Source organism: Homo sapiens, chromosome X (genome assembly GCF_000001405.40).
Source record: "Homo sapiens chromosome X, GRCh38.p14 Primary Assembly".
Classification (NCBI taxonomy): Eukaryota; Metazoa; Chordata; class Mammalia; order Primates; family Hominidae; genus Homo; species Homo sapiens.
In genome coordinates, this window is record NC_000023.11 from 101,168,848 (window position 1) to 101,191,669 (window position 22,822).

General features: G+C 40.6%; 1 protein-coding gene and 1 pseudogene across 1 annotated transcript in view; one reads left to right on the forward strand and one right to left on the reverse strand.

The window, feature by feature from the left end:
• CENPI (centromere protein I) overlaps positions 1-13,012 on the forward strand; it is an 83,656-nt gene extending 70,644 nt beyond the window's left edge. The window contains exon 21 of the mRNA XM_017029383.2: positions 12,965-13,012. Coding sequence (XP_016884872.1) covers positions 12,965-12,985 — 21 coding nt within the window. The 3' untranslated portion in view covers positions 12,986-13,012. The remainder of the gene's footprint in view (positions 1-12,964) is intronic.
• On the reverse strand, positions 21,613-22,618 carry YWHAQP8 (YWHAQ pseudogene 8; annotated as a pseudogene).

The following is a 22,822-nucleotide window of genomic DNA, read 5'->3' on the forward strand; positions in this document are numbered from 1 at the left end:
CAGCAGTGTAGTACCTAAAATGTTCAGTGCAGTAAAAATGAGACATGCAAAGAAATAGGAACATGTGATTCATACACAGGAAAAAAGACTAGAAATTACCTTGATAAGGACCAGATGTTGATCTTAGTGAACAATGACTTCAAAGCAGCTATTATAAGTATCTTCAAAGAAATTAAAGCAACTATGTTTAATTAAAGGGAGATATGATGACAATGATTGTATCAATAAAGTATAGAATATACACATACACCATTTCTATACACAGAAATGGAAATTCTGGACTTGGAAAAAAGTGAAGAAAAATGAATGGAGCCTTAGAGAAATGTGGGACACAAATATGCTCATAATGGGAATACCAGAAGAGGAGAGAAGGGGACAGAAAAAATATTTAAACAAATAATGGCTAATAATGCCCCAAACTTGATGAAAAACAATCTACACATCCAACAAGCTCAAGGAAATATAAGCAAATCAAATCCAGCAATATACAGTCATGTGCCACCACATAACAACATTTTGATCAATGATTGACAACATGTATGGTGGTAGTCCCATAAGATTATAGTGCAGCTGAAAAGTTCCCATCACCTAGTGCTGTCATAGTGCAACGTGTTACATGTTTGTGATGATGCTGGTGTAAACAAACCTGTGTTGCCACTCACATAAAAACAGCACATACAGTTATGTACAGCAGATTATACTTGATGAGAATAAACGACTGTGTCACTGGTTTATGTATTTACTGTACTTTTTATTATTATTTTGGAGCATCTACTCATACTTACTTTTAAAAAGTTTACTGTAAAACAACCTCAGGCAGGTCCTTCAGGAGGTATTCCAGAAGAAAGCATTGTTATCATCAGAGATGACAGCTCCATGCTTATTAGTGCCCCCGAAGACCTTCCAGTAGAAAGAGATGTGGAGGTGGAAGACAGTGATATTGATGATCCTGCCCTGGTGTAGGCCTAGCCTAATGTATGTTTCTATGGCTTAATTTTTAACAAAAAAGTGAAAAATTAGAAATAAGCTAACAAAATAAAGATATAAAGAAAATATTTTGTACAGCTGTACAATGTTTGTGTTCTAAGTGTTATTACAAAAGAGTAAAAAATTTTAAAATTTTAAGTATATGAAGTAAAAAGTTACAGTAAGCTAAGGCTAATTTATTGAAGAAAAGCTTTTTATAGATTTAGCCTAAGTGTACAGTGTTTATAAGGTCTACAGTATTGTTCAGTAATGTCCTAGGCCTTCACAGTCACTCACTGATTCACCCAGAGCAACTTCTAGTCCTGTAAATTTCATTCATGTTAAGTGCTCTATAGAGGTGTACTGCTTTGTACCTATTGTGTTTTACCTGTACTTTTTCTGTGTTTAGATACACAAATACATTGTGTTTCAGTTGCCTACAGTATTCTATTCAGTACAGTAACATGCTGTTCAGATTTGTAGCCAAGGAGTAATAGGCTATACCATAGACTTGTGTAAGTATACTCTATGATGTTCACACAATAAAATCGCCTAACACATTTCTCAGGACATGGCACTGTCGTTCAGAGATGCGGGACTACATAAAAAGAATTATACTTCATGACAAACTGGGACTTATCCCAGGAATGCAAGGTTGATTTAACATCCAAAAGGTAGTTAATATCATACACCATATCAAAACATTGTTTTAAAAAAGTAGACAATCTAATAAATGCAAATATATCCTATATTCATAGATTAGAAGACAATATTGTTAAGATAGCAATACACCCCAAACTGATATACATTTCCAAAGCAGTCTTTTTTCTTTTTTCTTTGAGACAGGGTCTTGTTCCGTTGCCCAGGGTGGAGTGCAGTGGTGCAGTCATGTCTCACTGTATCCTCAGCCTGGGCACAAACAAGCCTCCCACCTCAGCCTCCCAAGTAGTTGGGACTACAGACATGTGTCATCATGCCCAGCTTATTTTTGTATTTTTTGTAGAGACAGGGTTTTGCCGTGTTGCTCAGGCTGGTCTTGAACTCCTGGGCTCAAGCGATCTGTGCGCCTCAGACTCCCAGAGTTCCGGGATTACAGAGTGAGCCACTGCACCTGGCCTCCAATGCAGTCTCTATTGAAATCCCAACTGGCATTTTACAGAAATTGACAAGGTGAACCAAAAATTCAAATGGAACTGAGGGACCCAGAACAATATATTTTTCAATATTATTTCAATAATCAAAACAATATTGAAAAAACTTGGAAAATTCACATTTCTCAACTTCAAAGTCTACAGCGCTATATTAATCAAGACAGTGTGATACTGGCATAAGGGTAGACACAGGTCAATGGGATGGAATTGAGAGTTGAGGAATAAACCCATACATTTAGGGCCAATGTGATTTTCCACAGGGGAGCCAACACAGTTCAATGGGAAGAATAGTCCCCCATTGTACTGGGACGGTATAATAGTTGAAAAGATTATAAAACAATTTTTTTTAAAATGAAAAGACTATAGTATTTCATTATGGTACTGTGACAATAGAATCCAGTTGGGTCTCTGTGTCACACCATAAATAAAAATTAAAATGGATTTAAAAAACTAAATATAAAGCCCCAAACCAGAAAACTTTTTTTTATTTTGGAAACAAGGTGACACTTTCGCCCAGGCTAGAGGGCAGTGGCGCAAACACGGCTCATTGCAGCCTTGATCTTCCAGGCTCACTCAATCTTCCTGCTTCAGCCTCCTGAGCAGCTGGGACCACAGTCATGCACCACCATGCCTGGCTAAATGAGTTTTTGTAGAAACTGAGTCTGTGGCTCAGGCTGGTCTCAAACTCCTGGGATCAAACAATCCTCCCACCTCAGCTTCTCAAAGTGCTGGCATTACAGGCGTGTGCCACTATGCCTGGCCTTATAAAACTTTTAGATAAAACATAGGAGTATATCGTTGTGACATGGGGTGACATGGGGTTGGGCAGTGATATCTTAGCTATGGCAGCAAAGGCATACATAACAGAAAAAAATGAACTTTATCATAGTTAAAAACATTTGTGCTTCAAATGACACCATTAAGTGAGGTGGAAACAAAATGAGAGGAAATATTTGCAAATCATACCTGATAAAACTATTTTATTCCGAATATATAAATAAATAATGATGACCCAATTTAAAAACGGACCAAATATCTGAATATTTCTCCCCAGGAAGATATGCGAATGGATAATAAGAACATGGAACAATGCTGAACATTATGAGTCATTAGGTAAATTCAAATCAAAACCACAATGGTCTACAACTTCATACCCTGTAAGATAGACAGGCATAATAAGACAGACAATAACTAGTGTTGGGGGGATGCGGAGGAATTGAAATAGTCATGTATTGCTGGTTGGAACATAAATATTGCAGCCAGTTTGGAATAGAGTTTGGTAGTTACTCAAAATTTCAAACATAGAGTAGTCATATGAGCCTGCAATTCCACTGGGTGTATCCCCAAGAGAAATGAAAATATGTCTTCACAAAAGTTTGAACACAGATTGTTCATAGCAGCATTATTTTTAATAGCCAAAAGGTGAAACAATGCAAATGTCCAACTGATGAATGAGTAAAGTATGCTATACCCATTTCACAGAATACTGTTTGGCAGGAAAAAAAAAAACATATATTATGACATGGACAAACCTCAAAGACACTATGCTATATGAAATAATCCAATCACAAAACACATATTTTGTGGTTCTATTTACATGAAAATGTCCACAATATGTTAATGTATAAAGACAGAAAGAAGTAGTTGCCTAGGGCTGATCGGGATAGTTGGCAGGTAATGGGGAGTGACTCTTAACGGATAAGAGATTTCTTTTTGAGGTAATGAAAGTTTTAAACTATGTAAATATAAAAACCACTGAATTGTACATTTTAAATGGATAAATTGTTATGTAACATATCAATGTTTAAAAACTTATAAGGACTATTTTAAGTCCTTTGGAAATGGATGAGATGAGTAATCTTAAAGCTCTTATATTTGCATAGTGATCATCTTAATTGTATAATAATACATTTAGAAAAATTATACTCATAAAATCATTATTTGATTATCTTCTGTCTCTTACCCTGCCCTCTTCAAGTCTAGGAAGTTAGGAATATGCAAAGACAATTGTATATGATCATGTGCACCTATTAAGTAGTTGTAGGAATTTTTTTTTTTTTTTTTTTTTTTGAGGTGGAGTCTTGCTCTGTTGCCAGGCTGGAGTGCAGTGGTGCGATCTCGGCTCACTGCAACCTCCACATCCCGGGTTCAAGCGATTCTCCTGCCTCAGCCTCCCGAGTAGCTGAGACTACAGGCGTGCTCCACCATGCCCAGCTAATTTTTGTATTTTTAGTAGAGACGGGGTTTCACCATGTTGGCCAGGATGGTCTTGATCCCCTGACCTTGTGATCTGCCCTCCTCGGCCTCCCAAAGTGCTGGGATTATGGCGTGAGCCACCATGCCTGGCCTCTTTTTTTTTTTTTTTTTTTTTTCTGGAGGCGGGGTCTCACTCTGTCACCCAGGCTGGAGTGCAGTGGTGTGATCTCAACTCACTGCAGCTTCTACCTCCTGGGCTCAAGTGATCCTTCCACCTCAGCCTCTCAAGTAGCTGGGACTACAGGCATACAGAATTTCCACAGTTCTGAATGAGGATGCAACCAGAGTGATGATGTTTTAAATAGAATTAGGAAGCTTTCTTATGTGTTTAAATGGTAATTTATGTAGAAAAATGTATTAATCTATTTAAGCACAATCAGAAATGACAAAGATTACATTACAACGAATCCATAGAAATACAAAAGATCCTCAGAGACCATTATGAACACCTCTATGCACACGAACAAGAAAAGCTAGAGGAAATGGATAAATTACTGAAAACACAACCTCCCAAGATTGAATCCAGAAAGAAATTAAAACCCTGAAGAGACCAATATCAAGTTCAAAAATTGAATCTTATAAAAAACCTACCAATCAAAAAAAAACCTGGACCAGATAGATTCACAGCCAAATTCTATCAGACAAACGTCTAATATCCAGAATCTAAAAGGAACTTAACAAGCAAAAAACAACCCCATTAAAAATGGGCAAAAAACATGAACAGATGCTTCTCAAAAGAAGACATGCAAGTGGCCAGAAAACGTATGAAAAAATGCTCAACATCACTAGTCATCAGAGAAGTGCAGATCAAAACCACAATGAGATACCATGTCACACCAGTCAGAATGACTATTATAAAAAAGTCGAAAAACAATAGATGTTAGTGAGACTGCGGAGAAAAGGGAATGCTTATACACTGTTGGTGGGAATATAAATTAGTTCACCCAGTGTGGAAATTAGTTTAGAGATTTCTCAAGGAACTTAAAACCATTTGACCTAGCAATCCCATGACTGGGTGTATCTATATCTATCTATATCTATATCCATATCTGTATCTCCCATGAGATACCATTTGACCTAGCAATCCCATGACTGGGTAAATATCCAAAAGAAAATAAATTATTCTACCAAAAAAACACATGCACTCGTGTGTTCATTGCAGCACTATTCACAATGGCAAAACATGGAATCAACCTAGGTGCCCATCAGTGGTGGATTGGATAAAGAAAATATGACACATACATGCCATAGAATACTACATAGCCATAAAAGACAATCTTATTTCCTTTGCAGCAACATAGATACAGCTGGAGACCATTATTCTTAGCAAATTAATGCAGGAACAGAAAACCAAATACCACGTGTTCGCCCTTATAAGTGGGAGCTAAACATTGGGTACTCGTGGACATAAAGATGGTGACAATAGACACTGGGGACTACTAGAGGGGGGAGGGAGGGGAGCAAGAGTTGAAAAACTATTGGGTACTATGCTCAGTACCTGGGTGATGGGGTCAATCATACCCCAAACCTCAGCATCACACAATATACCCAGGTAACAAACATGCACATGTACCACCCGAATGTAAAATAAAAGTTGAAATTTTAGGCCAGGCCCGGTGGCTCACACCTGTAATCCCAGCACTTTGGGAGGCCGAGGCGGGTGGATCACCTGAGGTCAGGAGTTTGAGACCAGCCTGACCAACAAGGAGAAACCCCGTCTCTACTAAAAATACAAAGTTAGCCGGGCATGGTGGCACATGTCTGTAATCCCAGCTACTCGGGAGGCTGAGGCAGGAGAATCACTTGAACCCAGGAGGTGGAGGTTGCGGTGAACCAAGATCGTGCCATTGCACTCCAGCCTGGGCAACGGGCAAAACTCCATCTCAACAACAACAACAAAAAAAACCAAGTCGAAATATTTTTTTAAATGTATTAATCTATTTAATTTAAGGTGAGGATTATAACAATTATGCTATTTCAATAACTTAACCCCATTTTTACGATACTCTGTGTGAAAAAATCTTAGCAATGTTTAGAATCCCATGTTATTGCTTTACTCTGTTGATTGTTTCCTTTGCTGTGCAACAGCTTTTTAGTTTATATAGATCTACCACCTACCCCTGTTGGATATTTACCCCATTATAAGGAAGTAAGAATTTTGCCTCGCAACTTAGCCTCTACAGTTGCAGGGAAAGCTAAAGTAAAGAAAATGATCCTACCACTTCCATGGATGGGAAGAAAATAAGAAAGAAAATGAGCATGTTGTGCTGAATGGGGAGTTAGAATAAAATTGTAGTTTCTTGTCCTAACTTCAAATACTATTCCCCTTGTGTTTGGAAATGAATTGAGCTGAAGGAAAGAGCTGAAGGATTCTTGGCCTATAACTTAGCTCCTAGAGGTTGGACAGTAATTGAGCCTTTCTAGTATCTATACTTCTATTTTTAATTGATGCATAATATTTGTACATACTTATGGGGTGCATGGGATACATTATTACATGTATAGACTGTATAATGATCAAGTCAGGGTACTTGGGATGTCTAACACCTCGAGTATTTATTATTTCTGTGTTGGAAACATTTCTATTCTAGCTATCAAAATATACAATACATTGTTAACTATAGTTACCCTCCTGTGCTGTCAAGCATTAGAACTTATTCCTTCTATCTAACTGAATGTACTCATTAACTAATCACTCTTTATCCTCCGCCAACCCCCACCAAACCCACACCCTTCCCAGCCTCTGGTATCTATCATTCTATTCTCTACCTCCATAAGGTCAACTTTATTAGCTCCCACATATGAGTGAGAATATGTGATATTTGTCTTTGTGTGCCTGGCTTATTTCACTTAACATAATGACCTCCAGTTCCATCCACGTTGCTTCAAATGACAGGATTTTATTCTTTTATAGATGATAGTATTTCATTGTATGTGTGTATGTATGTGCATTTTTAATTCATTAGTCCATTGATAGGCACTTAGGTTTATTCCATATCTTTCTATTGTGAATAGTGCTGCAGTAAGCTCACAGGTGTCCCTTTGATATACTGATCTGTTTTCCTTTGGATAAATACAGAGTAGTGGGATTCCTGGAACATATGGTAGTTCTATTTTTAGTTTTTTGAACCTCCCCTACTGTTCTCCGTGGTGGCTATACTAATTTACAATCCCACCAAGAGTGTATAAGCATTCCCCTTTCACATCCTTGCCAGCATGCTATTTTTTTCTTTTTAATAGCCATTCTAACTGGGGTGAGATGATATCTTATTATAGTTTTGATTTGCATTCCCTGATGATTAGTGATCTTCAGCATTTTTATTCATATACCTATTGGGAAATTGTGTGTATTCTTTTGAGAACTGTCTATTCATGTCCTTTGCTCACTTTTTAATGGGTTTGTTTGTTTTATCTTGTTAAGTTGTTTGAGTTCCTTGTATATTTGGGATATTAGTTCCTTGTAGGATGAATCATTTGCACATATTTTCTTCAGTTCAACGATGCCTCTACTCTGTTGGTTGTTTCCTTTGCTGCGCAAAAGTTTTTTATGTATATAGTCCCATTTGTCTGTTTTTGTTTCTGTGCTTTCGAGGTCTTAGCCATAAGTTCTTTGCATAGACCAATGTTTTATAGTTTCAGGTCTTATGTTTCAGTCTTTACCGTGCTGAGTTGATTTTGTATATGGTGATGTTTGTGATTTCCTCAGTGGCTTAGGATGCTATTATTGGTGGAGGCTGTGGTGAAGTTTTCCTGGGGACAGGAGCACCACATGGGCCTGTCCTTGGTCCCTTGATTCCAGTGGCGGGCTGAATGTACCTGTCCTTGAGTCTCAGCGTGGTGTATGTTGACACCAGTGTTATTTTAGATCCAGTGGGGCTGTCTTTTGGGCTCCTAGGTGGCTTGCTTGGGTGCCAGTAGTGGCAGTGGCAAGCTGGGAAGGTGGGCAGGTTTTTGGGCCCCTGGATGCAGGTATGGTGTGGTCAATGATAGTTGCAGTGGTGGAACAAGCCTTTTGCTCCCAAGCTATCCACACTGGTATTTATGATGGCTGTAATGGGTTATGCAAGATAGTCCTGAGGCCTGCAAGTGGCATGTGCAGGTGAGTACCAGCTGCAGGTGGGTACCTGCAGTGGCAGGTTGGGTGGGCCCAACCTCAGGCCTTCAAGATGAATGCCCATTTGTCACCAGTGGTGGGCTTTGCTGGGCAGCCTCTAGGCCCTTGGAAGGCATGGTAGGTCACAGCGAGCATTGAGCCAGGCTGGGTGGACCTGTCCTCAGTTCCCCAGGTGGTGCATTTAGGCATTGACTGTGTTAGGTAGAGGCAGGGCGCTCCTCAAGCTCAAGGCAGAATGATTGAGTGGGGACAGCAGCAACTGTGCAACAGCCCTGCTACTATAGAGGACAGGGTTGCTTTCAGTTGGTAGCAGTCATATGCAGGTGGGTGCTCACACTTTGGGCCTGGTGGAGGCAGACTGATGTGGTAGCTACTGTTGGTAAGGGAGTTTGTCCTCAGGCCATGTGAAGGTGTGCTGCAGCTTCACTGCTGGGGGCAGCAGGATCCTTGCCGATGCCTTCCCTTGCACTTTAGCCCTCGTGGCACAGTGAGCTGCGATGGTGGCTGTGGGTGTGAAATGTCAATGGGGCTCCAAAGATGTGGAGATGCAGGGGCTATTGGGCCCCCAGGCAGGATGCAGTCTGGTGAGTCTTAGCAACCAATACGCTGCCTTGCTGTAGCTGCTTAGGGCTTGGAGTATGTATGGGACCCAGTGTGAGCCCCCTCTCTGGAGCCGTGTCTTCATGCATTTTTCAGGCAGCTTATTCTCAGGGCCTGAAAGAGTCTAGGGGCTTTCCTGTGGCTAGGAAGAAGGAGTCTGCAATGGAAATGTGGATCACTGGGGGTCACTCACATATCCTTTCCCCTGGATAGGGGCTTCCCTGGAGCCTCTCCAGGTTCCCAGCTGATCCCAGGTAGCAGGCTGCTTCGCATCCCTCTCCTTCCTTGCTTTAGGTGTTTCCTGTCACTTCTCTAATTCCAGTGTTCTCTGTTAAATGATCCGTTTGAAATACGATTATCTACTTGCTACTTTGGTTCTTTGTGAAGGTGAGTACCAGATGCCTCTAGTCAGCTATCTTGAAGCCCCTTCCTTAGGATCTATGCTTCTTCTTCTTTTCTTCTTCTTTTTTTTTTTTTTTTTTTTTTTTTTTGAGACAGAGAGTTTTGCTCTTGTTGCCCAGGCTGGAGTGCAATGGCATGATCTCGGCTCACTGCAACCTCCATCTCCTGGGTTCAAGTGATTCTCTTGCCTCAGCCTCCTGAGTAGCTGGGATTACAGGTGTCTGCCACCATGCCCAGCTAATTTTTGTATTTTTATTAGAAATGGGGTTTCACCATGTTGGCCGGGCTGGTCCCGAACTCCTGACCTCAGGTGATCCACCCGCCTCGGCCTCCCAAAGTGCTGGGATTACAGGCGTGAGCCACCACACCCGGCCGGATCTATGCTGCTTAAAGAACTTTCACCCTATAAGCCACTTTACATAAGAGTACTCACATTGGTTAATAACTACAGTAGCTCTTCTTACCCTAAATTTCAGAATTTCTTTGCCATCGGTGAGCATTACATTTTTTCTTCTTAGCATTTTGTTTTATTCTATCACCAATAGATTTAACTTTGATTTCTTAAACATTTCATAATTTATGTTTTAGAATTATTAGATTTCTTTAAGCATTTTTTAAAGGCGAGTTTTGATAAGATAACTGATTTGCATTTTACTACTTTTTCTTATTCTAGTAAAATACTCATTGCATAATATTTACCATTTGAACCATGTTAAAGTCCAATTCAGTGGCATTAAGTATATTCATAATGTTGTGCAACTACCACCAATATTAGTTTCAGAACTTTTTCATCACCCAGAAAGGAAACCCTGTACCCATTAAGTATTTTCTCCTCATTCCTTCCCTTTTCCCAGCCTCAGGCAACCACCAATATGCGTTCTGGTCTCTATGAATTCACCTGTGCCGGACGTTTCATATAAATGGAATCATACAATATGTGGCCTTTTGTGTCTGGCTTATTTCACTTAGCATGATGTTTTCAAGATTCATCCATGTTAAAACTTGTATCAGAACTTCATTCCTTTTTATGGCTGAATAATATTCTTTTGTATTAATATAGCACATTTTGTTATTCCTTCATCAATGATGGACATTTGGATTGTTTCCATTTTTGACTGATGTGAATAGTGCTGCTGTGAACATTCATTTATACAAATGTTTATTTGAACGCCTGTTTTTCTTTCTTTCTTTTTTTTTTTTTTGAGACGGAGTCTCGCTCTGTCGCCCAGGCTGGAGTGCAGTGGCACCATCTCGGCTCACTGCAAGCTCCACCTCCCAGGTTCACGCCATTCTCCTGCCTCAGCCTCCCAAGTAGCTGGGACTACAGGCGCCTGCCACATGCCCAGATAATTTTTTGTATTTTTTAGTAGAGACGGGATTTCACTGTGTTAGCCAGGATGGTCTCGATCTCCTGACCTGGTGATCTGCCCGCCTCGGCCTCCCAAAGTGCGGGGATTACAGGCGTGAGCCACTGCACCCGGCCTGAATGCCTGTTTTTCAATTCTTGTGGGTTTGGAGTGGGTTTACTAGACCTTATGGTAATTCTATGTTTAAATTATTGAGGAACCACCAAACTTTTTCAGTGTGGCTGTACCATTTTACATTCCTGTCAGTAATGTATGAGGCTTCTATTTTCTCCACATCCTTGCCAACTATTATTTTTTATTATGTTCATGCCAGTGGGTAGGAAGTAATATCTTATAGCTTCATTTGCATTTACCTAATGACTGGTGGTGTTGAACATACTTTTCATGTCTTGTTGGCCATTGTGTATCTTTTCTGGAAAAATGTCTAATTATGTTTTTTGACCTTTTTTTTGAGACAGGGTCTTGCTCCACCACCCAGGCTGGAGTGCAGTGGCATGATCGTGGCTCACTGTAACCTCAACCTTCTGGGCTAAAGTGATCCTTCTGTCTCAACTTCCTGAGTAGCTGGGACCACAGGTGTGCACCACAGCACCTGGCTAATTTTTTTATTTTTTGTAGAGATAAGGTCTCACTATGTTGCCTAGGCTGTTCTTGAACTCCTGGGCTCAAGTGATCCTCCCACCTCTGCCTCCCAAAGTGCTAGGATTACAGGCATGAGCAACCACAGCCAGCCTTTGCCCATTTTTAAATTGGGTTATTTGTCTTTTGGTTGTCGAGTTCGAAGACATCTTTATATATTCTGAATATAAGACACTTCTCAGATATATGATTTGCAAATAGCAGGTTATCTGTATACTTTATTCATAGTGCCCTTTAATGCACAAACTATTTAGATTTTGATGAAGTCCAATTAATTTTTTTGTTGATTGTTTGTACTTTAGGTGTAATGTCTCAGAAACTGTTGCCTAGTCCAGGGTCATGAAGATTTACATCATTGTTTTCTTCTGAGAGTTTTCTAGTTTTATCTCTTATATTTAGGTATTTTATCCATGTTAAGTTAATGGTTTTGTTTTTTGTTTTAGAGAGAGGGTCTTGCTCTGCTGCCCAAACTGGAGTGCAGTGATGTGATCATGGCTCACTGCAGCCTTGCTCTCTTGGGCTTAAGCAATCCTCCCACTGCATCCCCCCAAGTAGCTTGGACTATGGGGGCATGCCACCACACATGGCTAATTTTTATTTTTTTGTAGAGATGGGATCAAGCTAATTTTTAATATGGTATGAGGTGGTCTAAATTTATTTGTTTTTCATGGTGATATCAATTTGTTGCAACACCATTTGTTGAAAAGGCTATTCTTACCTTCTATTGAATTTTCTTAGGATCTTTGTCAAAAATCAATTGACTATAGAAGTACGGAGCTATTTTTTTTTTTTCTGGACTTTGAATTCTACTGCAGTGATCTATATGTCTCTTCTTAGATCAGTACCACAGTGTCTTTGTTATTGTACCTTTGTGATAAATTTTGAAATAGGGAAGAATGAGACTTTCAAACTTTATTCTTCTTCAATATTGCCTTTGGCTTTTCTGGGTCCCTTACATTTCCATATGAAGTTTAGGATTAGCTTGTCAATTTCTGCAAAGAAAGGCAGTTGGAATTTTGATAGGAATTACATCGAAACTGTAGATCACTTTGGAAAGTACTGACTTAAAACAATTTTAAGTTTTCTAATACATGAACACCAGATGTTTTTCCATTTATTTAGAAAACAACAACGTTTTGTAGTTTCTAGTGTACAAGTCTTATACTTATTTTATTGAATTTATTCCTCAGTATTTTATTATTTTCGATGCTATTACAGATGAAATATTTTTATTTTTGCATTTGTCATTAAAGCATATAGAAATACAACTAATTTTAGTAATTTGATCTTGATCCTTACAACCTTGCTAGCTCATTTAATGGCCTTAATAGTTTTTGAGTGGATTTATTAGAATTATCTGTATACAAGATCATGTCATCTGTGAATAGAAATATTTTTACTTCTTCCTTTTTAATCTGAATGTCTTTTATTTCATTTTCCTGACTAATTATCCTGGCTGGAACCTCCAGTACAATGGTGAATGGAAATGAGGAGAGTGAACATCCCTTTATTGTTCCTGAACTCAGGGAGAAAGCTTTCAGTCTTTTAATAGTAAGTATGATATCAGCTGTTAGGTTTTGGTAGATGCTGTTTATAGGTTTAAGAAATTTTCTTCTATTTATTTGTTTATTTTTGATACAGGGTATCACTTTGTTGCCCAGGCTGGACTGCAGTGTCATGATCATGGCTCACTGCAGCCTTGACCTCACGGGCTCAAGTGATCCTCCCACCTCAGCTTCCCAGGTAGCTGGGACTACAGGCATGTGCCACTAGGCCTGGCTAATTTTTAAAATTTTTTGTTGAGATGGGGGTCTCATTATATTTCCCAGGCTGGTCTTGAACTCAAGTAATCCTCCTGCCTTGGCCTCCCAAAGTGCTAGGGGTGCTGCTCCCGGCCCAGTTCCTTTTTTTTTTTTTTTTTTTTTTTTTGAGATGGAGTCTCACTTTGTGCAGTGATGCAGTCTCGGCTAACTGCAACCTCCGCCTCCCAGGTTCAAGTGATCCTCCCACCTCAGCCTCCCAAGTAGCTGAGATTATAAGCGTGGGCCACCACGCCCACCTTATTTTTGTGTTTTTAGTAGAAATGAGGTTTCACCATGTTTACCAGGCTGGTCTCGAACTCCTGACCTCAAACGATCCGCCCACCTCAGCCTCCCAAAGTGCTGGGATTATGGGTGTGAGCCATGGCACCCGGCCCCAGTTTCCTTTTATTCTTTGTTTGCTGAGTGCTTTTGTTGTGAAAGGATATTGAATTTTGTGAAATGGTTTTTCTGTGTCTATTGACATGTGATGATTTGGTTTTATCCTTTATTAATATGATGTGTTACATTAATTGATTATTGTATGTTGACTCAACATTACATTACTGGGATAAATGCCACTTGGTCATGGCATGTAGTACCGTTTATATGTGGCTGGATTTGGTTTGCTAGTTTTTTGTTGAGAATTTACTATGTCTATATTCATAAGTGATATTAATCTGTAGTTTTCTTTGCTTGTGATTATTTTGTCTGGTTTTAGTATTGAGGTAATGTTGGCCTCATAGAATTAGTTAGGAAGTGCTCCATTCTCTTCTGTTTTTGGAAGAGTATGTGAAGGCTGGCATCAGTTCTTCTTTAAATATTTTGTAGAATTCATCAGTGAAGCCATCTGGTTCTAGACTTTTAATTGTGGGAAGGTTTTTTAAAATAACTAATTCAATCTCTTTAGTTGTTATATATTTATTCACATTTTCTCCTTTTTCTTGAGTCAGTTTTGGTAGTTTGTGTCTTTCTAGGATTTTTTCTTTTTTTTTTTTGAGACGGTGTCTCGCTCTGTCACCTAGGCTGGAGTGCAGTGGTGCGATCTCGGCTCACTGCAACCTCTGCCTCGCAGGTTCAAGCGATTCTCTTGCCTCAGTCTCCTGTTGGGGTGATTAGATCCAACACCAGGTCATGGGGGCAACAAAGTCCGGCGGAGTCAAAGAAATGAGAAAAAGACAGTTTGAGAGACAAAGTGGGACCAGGAGGCCATTGCAAGTGTGGAGGCTGCGAAGGCCCTGAGCTCTGGGAGCCCACACTATTTACTGGTGCTCAAACAAAGAAACAGGTGGTGAGGATGTGGGGGTTGAAAGGAAACAGTGTATCAAGTGAATGAGAAGCATAGGGCTGCTTGAGATAATGGGAATTCTAGAAGCAAGGAGCCAGCAAGTCTAGCAGACATGCAAGCCCTGCCTCAGCTTCTCTCCCAACACTCAGCTTTCTCCCAACATGCTCCCCTTCTCTTTTTTGTAAAAACCGCCAGAGCTATCATTATTATTAGCATAAGGTGACCTTTTTTAAAAAAAATTAATTGAGCAAGATAATTGCAGGCTGTGCAGCCCTTAATTGCCAGTTGGTGATCCAGCTTCAATTTTTTTTAGCCCTTATTCAAAATGGGGTTGCTCTGGTTTGAATGCTTCATACATATCTCCCCTTTCCCTTTTACAAGAGGACCCTTAATCCTAGGGGCTGCAGAAGGATGAAGGTCCATCTTCTGTAACTTCTTCATGCTGAATAGGGGCAATGATACTCCTGCCTACCTATTAGGGTCTATTGTATTCAGGGTAGAGAGGAGTTCAGTCAGAAAGCATTGGTCCGTAAAGCATCTATAGGTAAAACCCTGGCGCTCCAGCAGTTTCTCAGCATGGCTCGTACTGGGGGAACCCAGTCCATGGTTGGGATCCATGGGTCCTTCCAGTCTCATGTTCCATGGTCATACACATCTTGAGGGCACCTACACAGTTTGTTCATCTCCTGCAAAAACACAAGCATACCCTCACCCCCACATTAGTAAATCTATGGAAACAGAAGCAAAAACTTTTGAGGCTGTAGCCGGGAGGCATGCCATTGCTGAAGCATTTGTAACTCAGCTTCCACCTCTTTGGTTAATTACCACGGGGTAAAACTTACCGTTGATAACAAGAAGCAGGCCCCTTCTAACAGAAGGCACAGAGAAAGCAAATTGAGGCTTAAAAACAATCCTTAAACCTTCAATGTGCACTGTACAGGTGGGTCCACTAGATGCTGTGGCTCATGATAGATCTTCAGATGTTTGGTGGGCACCCACACAGGCACCTGATTGTCACCTGGAGAAACACAAGCAAATCCTCTTCCCCATAAAATTATCTTTCCTTTTTCCCAGCTCTTTGTATGTGCATCCCTCCACCATATATCTTGTCCAGCCTTTTAATTTTCCTTTTGTCCTGTCAGGTGTTGTTCAGCTGCAGTCATGGGTTAATCTTTCTGTAAATTTAAAAAATTTAATGTTAATAAAGCTAAATGCAATTGCATATGTTGTGTCTTATATTCCTAGTCTCCTCCCTTTTGCTTTTGTATTTGAGTTTTTAAAGTACAATTAGCTCTTTCCACTATTGCTTGTCTTTGTGAGTTATATGGAACACCCGTAGTATGGGTAATATTCCATTGTTGAAAAAATGTAGCCATGGCTTTACTACAGTCTCCTGGGCCGTTATCAGTTTTGATTTTTCTGGGATTCCCATAACTGAAAAGCAAGATAAAAGATGTCTTTTAACATGAGCTGTGGCATCCCCTGTTTGACATGTGGCCCAAATAAAATGTGAATAGGTATCTAATGAAACATGAACAAAGGACAATTTTCCAAAAGCAGGAATATGTGTTACATCCATCTGCCAGATGGAATTTGGAGATAAACCTCTAGGGTTAACTCCTTTTCCTTGATGTGGCAGATGCAGGACTTGGCAGGCAGAACAATGTTGCACAATTTCTTTAGCTTGTTTCCATGATAGACCGTATGTTTTTCTAAGGCCTGTGGCATTAAGGTGGGTTAAAGAATGAAATGTTTGTGCATCAGCAAAGGCTGCAGACACCAATGCAACCGCCCTTTGATTAAGTTTAGTTAAAGGGCCAGGGAGGTTAGTATGTGCTCTCATATGAGTGATATAGAAAGGTGAATGCCTTTGTTGTACTGCTTGCTGTAAAGAATGAAATAAAAGATTAAGTTGTTCATCAGTCATATTTTGAACTAAGGCACATTGAATATTTTGCATGGCTTGCACTACATAGGCTGAATCAGAAACACTGTTTACTGGCTGTTTAAAAGTTTTTAACACTGTTATCACAGCCATAAGTTCAGCCCTTTGAGAAGAAGCAAAGTCAGTTTGAAAAACTTGCTGTTGAGGTCCTGCAAATGAGGCTTTTCCATTACTAGATCCATCAGTAAAAACAGTAATGGTCCCTTCAATAGGGGCTTTTTGAGTAATAGAAGGCAACATCCAGGATGTTAATTTTAGAAACTGGAAGGTTTTAGACTCAGGATAATGATTATCAAGAATGCCAACAAAACCGGCCAAATTAACTTGCCATTCTTGGGAATTAATATAGGCTTGTTGAATTTGTTGTTTTGTTAATGGAACTATAATCTTATTTGGATCATATGCCATTAACTTTGTTGAGCGCAGCTGCGCTTGTCCTACTAGCACAGCAATTTGATCTAAGTACAGAGTGAGTGTTTTGGTTGTATTGTGAGGTAGAAAAAGCCACTCAACCAGATCATCCTGTTGAACTATAACTCCTGTAGGCGAATGCTTAGTAGGAAAAACTAAAAACTGTAATGGCTGTATTGGATTAATCCGTTCTACTTGTGCTTGCTGAATTTTTTCCTCAATTAATTGAAGTTCCTCCAATGCTTCTTTGGACAGGGAGCGTTTACTTTTAAGGTTAGAATCACCTCATAAAGCAGAAAAGAGGTGAGACATAGCATAGGTAGGAATGCCTAAAGTTGGATGAATCCAATTAATGTCTCCTAATAATTTTTGGAAATCATTTAAGGTTTCTAAATTATCTCTTCGAATTTGAACCTTTTGAGGCTTAATAGCACTTTGCTCTACCTTCATTCCTAGATATTGAAAGGGAGTAGAAGTTTGGATTTTATCAGGGGCTATAACTAACCCTGCCGCATTTACAGACTTTCCTAACTGCTTGTAGCACAACATCAATTCTTCCCTAGTTTCAGCTGCACACAGAATATCATCCATGTAATGGATGATATAACATTTTTTAAACTGTTCTCTAACTGGCTTAATAGCTTTCCTGACATAAGTTTAACAAACAGTTGGGCTATTTAGCATGCCTTGTGGCAGTACTTTCCAATGGTATTTGTCCGCTGGTTCTTTATTATTTATGGCAGGAACAATAAAAGCAAATTTTTCATAATCTTGGGCAGCTAAAGGAATGGTAAAAAAGCAATCCTTTAGATCTATCACTATGAGAGGCCAGTATTTTGGGATCATTGTTGGGGAGGGCAGCCCTGGTTGTAGTGCACCCATGGGTTGACTCAGAGCATTAACAGCCCTTAAATCTGTTAACATTCTCCATTTCCCTGATTTTTTCTTAATGACAAATACAGGAGAATTCCAAGGGGAGAAAGTAGGCTCTATATGTCCCTTTTGCAATGGTTCCTGCACCAGTTCTTTTAAAGCCTCCAGTTTTTCCTGTTTCAGTGGCCATTGCTGCACCCAAACCGGTTTGGCAGTTAGCCAAACAAGAGGAATGGGAGCCAGAGGCTCAACAATGGCCGCTCCTAAAAATGACACCCAATCCGGTCCAATCTGTTTTTCCTTTTAATTCTAAAGTTTCTGATTGGCCAATTTTATCTTTTTCTAGTCCTTTTCCCAGGCAATATCCCATATTTTTCATCATTTGTCTACTATTATTACTATATTGATCCGTAGGAATAGATATTTCAGCATCCCATTGTTGCAATAAGTCTCTACCCCATAAATTAACAGGAATAGGTGTAATGATAGGTTGGATTATCCCTTCCTAACCATCCGGCCCTTGACATGGTAAAATCAAAGAACTTTGAAAAACTTCTGACGCAGCTCCTACTCCAACAATAACAATGGATGCCTTTTGCTTAGGCCAGTGCCGGGGTCATTGATTTATAGCAATAATAGAGACATCAGCTCCAGTATCTACTAGTCCTTCAAAATCTTTTCCCTGAATAGTTACTGTGCAAATAGGTCTTTTGCCAGACACTTGATTAACCCAATACACAGCCTTCCTGCTGGATTAGTACTACCAAAGCCTCCTGTTCTTTTCACTGTGCTGCTTCCTAGTTTTATGTAAGGTAACAGCAACAACAGCAATTCTTTCTCCTGGGGAGGCAGACTGTGGAGTCGAGGAACTAATAACTAATTGAATTTCTCCGGTATAATCAGAGTCAATTATTCCCGTATGTACAGTAACACCTTTTAAATTTAGACTAGACCTTCCAAGTAATAGACCAACTGTTCCTGAGGGTAAGGGTCCCCTAACTCCCGTGGGGGACCTTCTTTGGTGGCTCCCCAGGAAGTAAGGAGAGGGGAATTGTGCTGTAGAGGTCTACAGCAGCACTGCCTGCTGAGGCGGGGGACAATTCTTGTACATTTGTAATGGCACTGGCTGTGCCAGTTATGCCTCGGTTTGTTGAGGGGCTCGAGGTGGGCTTCTCTTACTGTTTCCTGAAAGAGGATGTCCATCTTGACTAAATTTAGAATGACACTGACTTTCCCAGTGATTGCCTTTCTTACACCGGGGACATACACCGGGACTTTTCTGTTGATTGATGGTACTAATTTTTGCCCTTTGATTTCCTTTTCTACATTCCTCTCTTGTGTGTCAAAATTGCCGACAATTAAAGCAAGAGCCTGAGAAACAGGGCATATTCTTTCCTATTCTTAATCCAGCCATAGCCTGAGCTAAAAGAGTAGCCTTATGTAAGTTATCTGCAATGCCATCGCAAGCCTTAATATATTCAGCTAAATGAGCCTTCCCTCTCGGGTCTAATAGCAGTTTGACACTCTGCATTAGCATTATCGTATGCAAGAAGCTGTATTACAACATCCTGAGCCGTTTTATCAGTTATGGCTTTATACATAGCCTCTTGGAGCCAAGCAATAAAACCAGTATATGGTTCTTTAGGTTCTTGTCAGACAGAACTGAAAGAAGGATATTTTTCCTCTGTAACATGTATCCTTTCCCATGCCCATAAGCACACAAAGCACAGCTGAACAATGGCAACATCATCTATTACTGCTTGATTCTGTAATCGACCCCAATTAGGGCCAACTCCCATTAACTGTTCAAAGGAAACAGGCACAGGTGGCTGTGCTTGTGTGTTTTCCCTTGCCTGAGTTTGAGCTTCATCAGCCCACCAGGTTTTCAACTGCAAGTACTGAGATGGAATGAGAACAGATTTTGTCAAAGTATCTGAATCATATGGTATTAATCTATTATCAAGAGCCATATTTTTAAATAAAGTTTGCACAAAAGAAGAGTTCGGTCCATATTGACTAATGGCTTGTTTAAATTCCTTTAGTAACTTAAAAGGAAAAGTGGCCCAATTAGCTATATTCTTTCCTCCCTGCTGGATTATAGTAATGGGAAATTGCCATGCTTCAAGGTCTCCCTTAGCTCTAGCTTTTTGAATAGAATTTTGTATAGCACTGCCAATTGCTCCAGGTTTCAATGGTGCAACTACAGGAGCAATAAGTTTTTCAGCTAATTTATTTTCTTGCCCATTAAGGGGAGAGAGAGGAGGTGGCCATTCACTTAATTCAGCAGGTGGAGCTGACAGGCTAGTAAAACATACTATTTAGTTTTCCTTTCTTTTCTTTAATCTCCTCCAGTAGCTGTTCCTCACACTCAGAATCTGAAGTTAGATTTTTACACTCGACCTCCTCTTCCTCATCTGAATCTGCCTCATCATCTGTTTGAAATGGCTCAAGAGCTGCCTTTATTAGCACCCACACTGACCAAACGGAAACTGGAATTTCTGCTCCCTCTTTATATGCCTTTTTAAAATCTCTTCCAATTCTCTCCCATTCATCCAACTCCATAGTCCCTTGTTCAGGAAACCATGGGCAAAACTGCTTTACTATACTAAAGAGTGATAACAAATTCTGAGTACTAACTTTCACTCCCCCTCTTTGTAATAAATCACTTAAGAAATTTAAATAAACAGAATGTCTGCTTTCACTTTGTCTCATTGTTACCCTGGTTCTTCCGAGTGCTCAGCTTTTCCACTGAGCTTCTTTTAGGACATCTTTTAGACATCCTCGGGTGTCCTCTGACGATGCGTCCTCTGCTTTCACATGCTCTAGCATTCCTTCACTGGGGTCTTTGTTGCCCCACGTTGGGCAGCCAGGAATGTTGGGGTGATCAGACCCAACACCAGGTCATGGGGGCGACAAAGTCTGGTGGAGTCAAAGAAATGAGAAAAAGTTTGAGAGAGAAAGTGGGACCAGAGGGCCATCGCGAGTGTGGAGGCTGCAAACGCCCCAAGCTCTGGGAGCCCACACGATTTATTGGTGCTCAAACAAAGAAACAGGTGGTGAGGATGTGGGGGTTGAAAGGAAACAGTGTATCAAGTGAAGGAGAAGCACATGGCTACTTGAGATAATGGGAGTGCTAGAAGCAAGGAGCCAGCAAGTCTAGCAGACATGCAAGCCCTGCCTCAGCTTCTCTTCCAACACGCAGTTTTTCTCCCAACAGTCTCCCAAGTAGCTGGGACTACAGATGCGCGCCACCATGCCCAGTTAATTTTTGTATTGTTAGTAGAGACGGGGGGAGGAGGGGCGGTGTTTCACTATGTTGGCCAGGCTAGTCTCGAACTCCTGACCTCATGATCCGCCTGCCTTAGCCTCCCAAAGTGCTGGGATTACAGCACCTGGCTGATATTTTTTCATTTTATTTTATTTTATTATAATTTGGTGATTTTGTAGTTTTAATTGACAGTTTATAACTGTACATATTTACAGGGTACAATTTGATGTTTCTATATATATACTAATACTGATCAAATCAGGGTGTTTAGCATATCCATCACCTCATACAATCATTTCTCTGTGGCGAGAACATTCAAAAGCCTCTCTTCTAGCTATTTTGTAATATGCAATACCTTATTGTTAACCATTGTCACCCTACTATACAATAGAACACCGGAAAGTATTCCTACTAATTGTAACTTTATATCCATTGACCAATCTCTCCTTATCTTCCCTTCTCTTCCCTCCCCTTCTCAATCTCTGGTAACCATCATTCTACTTTATGCTTCTATGGTATCAGTTGTTTTTTTGGGAGGTGTAAGTGAATTTTTATTGGGAAGGGAGGTTGTCAACTTAAACAGCAACAAATAAAGAGTGAATAAGGAAACTCCTTGTTGCCACAGATATACATGACCTCCTTATGTGACACAGGAGGCATTTCAATTTGTGACTCCCAGACAGAGATGGCAAGTGCTTTTCCATTCAATCTAATATTTCTGGATTCCTACTAAAAAGGAATACATTAAGAGCATGGAAAAGTTGCTTATTGGAAGGAAACCCCCAAAGAGTAAGGGAGGGAATGTAGAAATTAAGTTATGTAGAACACTCTTCAAACTGTAATTAACATTTTCATATCTTCACAGTAATACAGTCACTTGCAGGACTGGTTCAGATTACTTAAATACCAGATACATTTTTAGTCCTGTGTAAGTGTTTGGAAATTACTTATGTTTATATAAAATGAAGCTATTAATACTTTTCTACAGCAGTAACTGCACACCAGGAAGGCCAAGACAAACAGATCAAGGGATGAAGTTTTCCCAAAGTTGCGTGTGAAAAGCCTATGAACAGTTGATTCCATAGACATGAATGGGTTTCTTTGCTATAGGAAATCCAAGTGGAATAAGGAATGGAGATGTGTAAAAAGGCTTCTTGAAGTAAAAAAGGATGACACACTGTATGGATTTAGATTTCAGCCCCTTCTGCAACATCACATTCTTCTCCTGCACTGTCTGATGTCCAAAGCGTTAGGTTGTCTCAAAGCAACTGTATGATAGTCCTTAATCAGCTGCAACTTCTTGTCGGAGGTGTAGGTATTCTGCTCGATGCTCCAGATGACGCCCCAGGCGGACCTGCGGCCCCGACCACGTTCTTGTAGGCCACGGAAAGCAGGTTGCGCTCCTCCTTGGACAGCTCGGCGCCCTGCTTGGTCCCGGCCTTCATGCAGGTGGCCATGTCGTCGTAGCGCTCGGCCAACTTGGCCTTCTGGATCAGCTCCGTCTTCTCCATGGCGGGCGCGGGGCCCGGGCCTGGCCGGGGAGGGAGCCTCCAGAGCTGCGGAGGGGCGGGGCGGCGAGGCGATAACAAAAAGCAGGGAGGGAGCTCCGTCAGACAATGGGGCCGGCAGCCCGCTTTTATCTCTGGCACAAGGCGGCCGGTTGAATTTCCCTCTCCCCCGACTCCACCACCACTGGGCGCCCGGGGAGGCCGCTGCCCGGGCGGGAGGAGGCGGGGGCGGTGC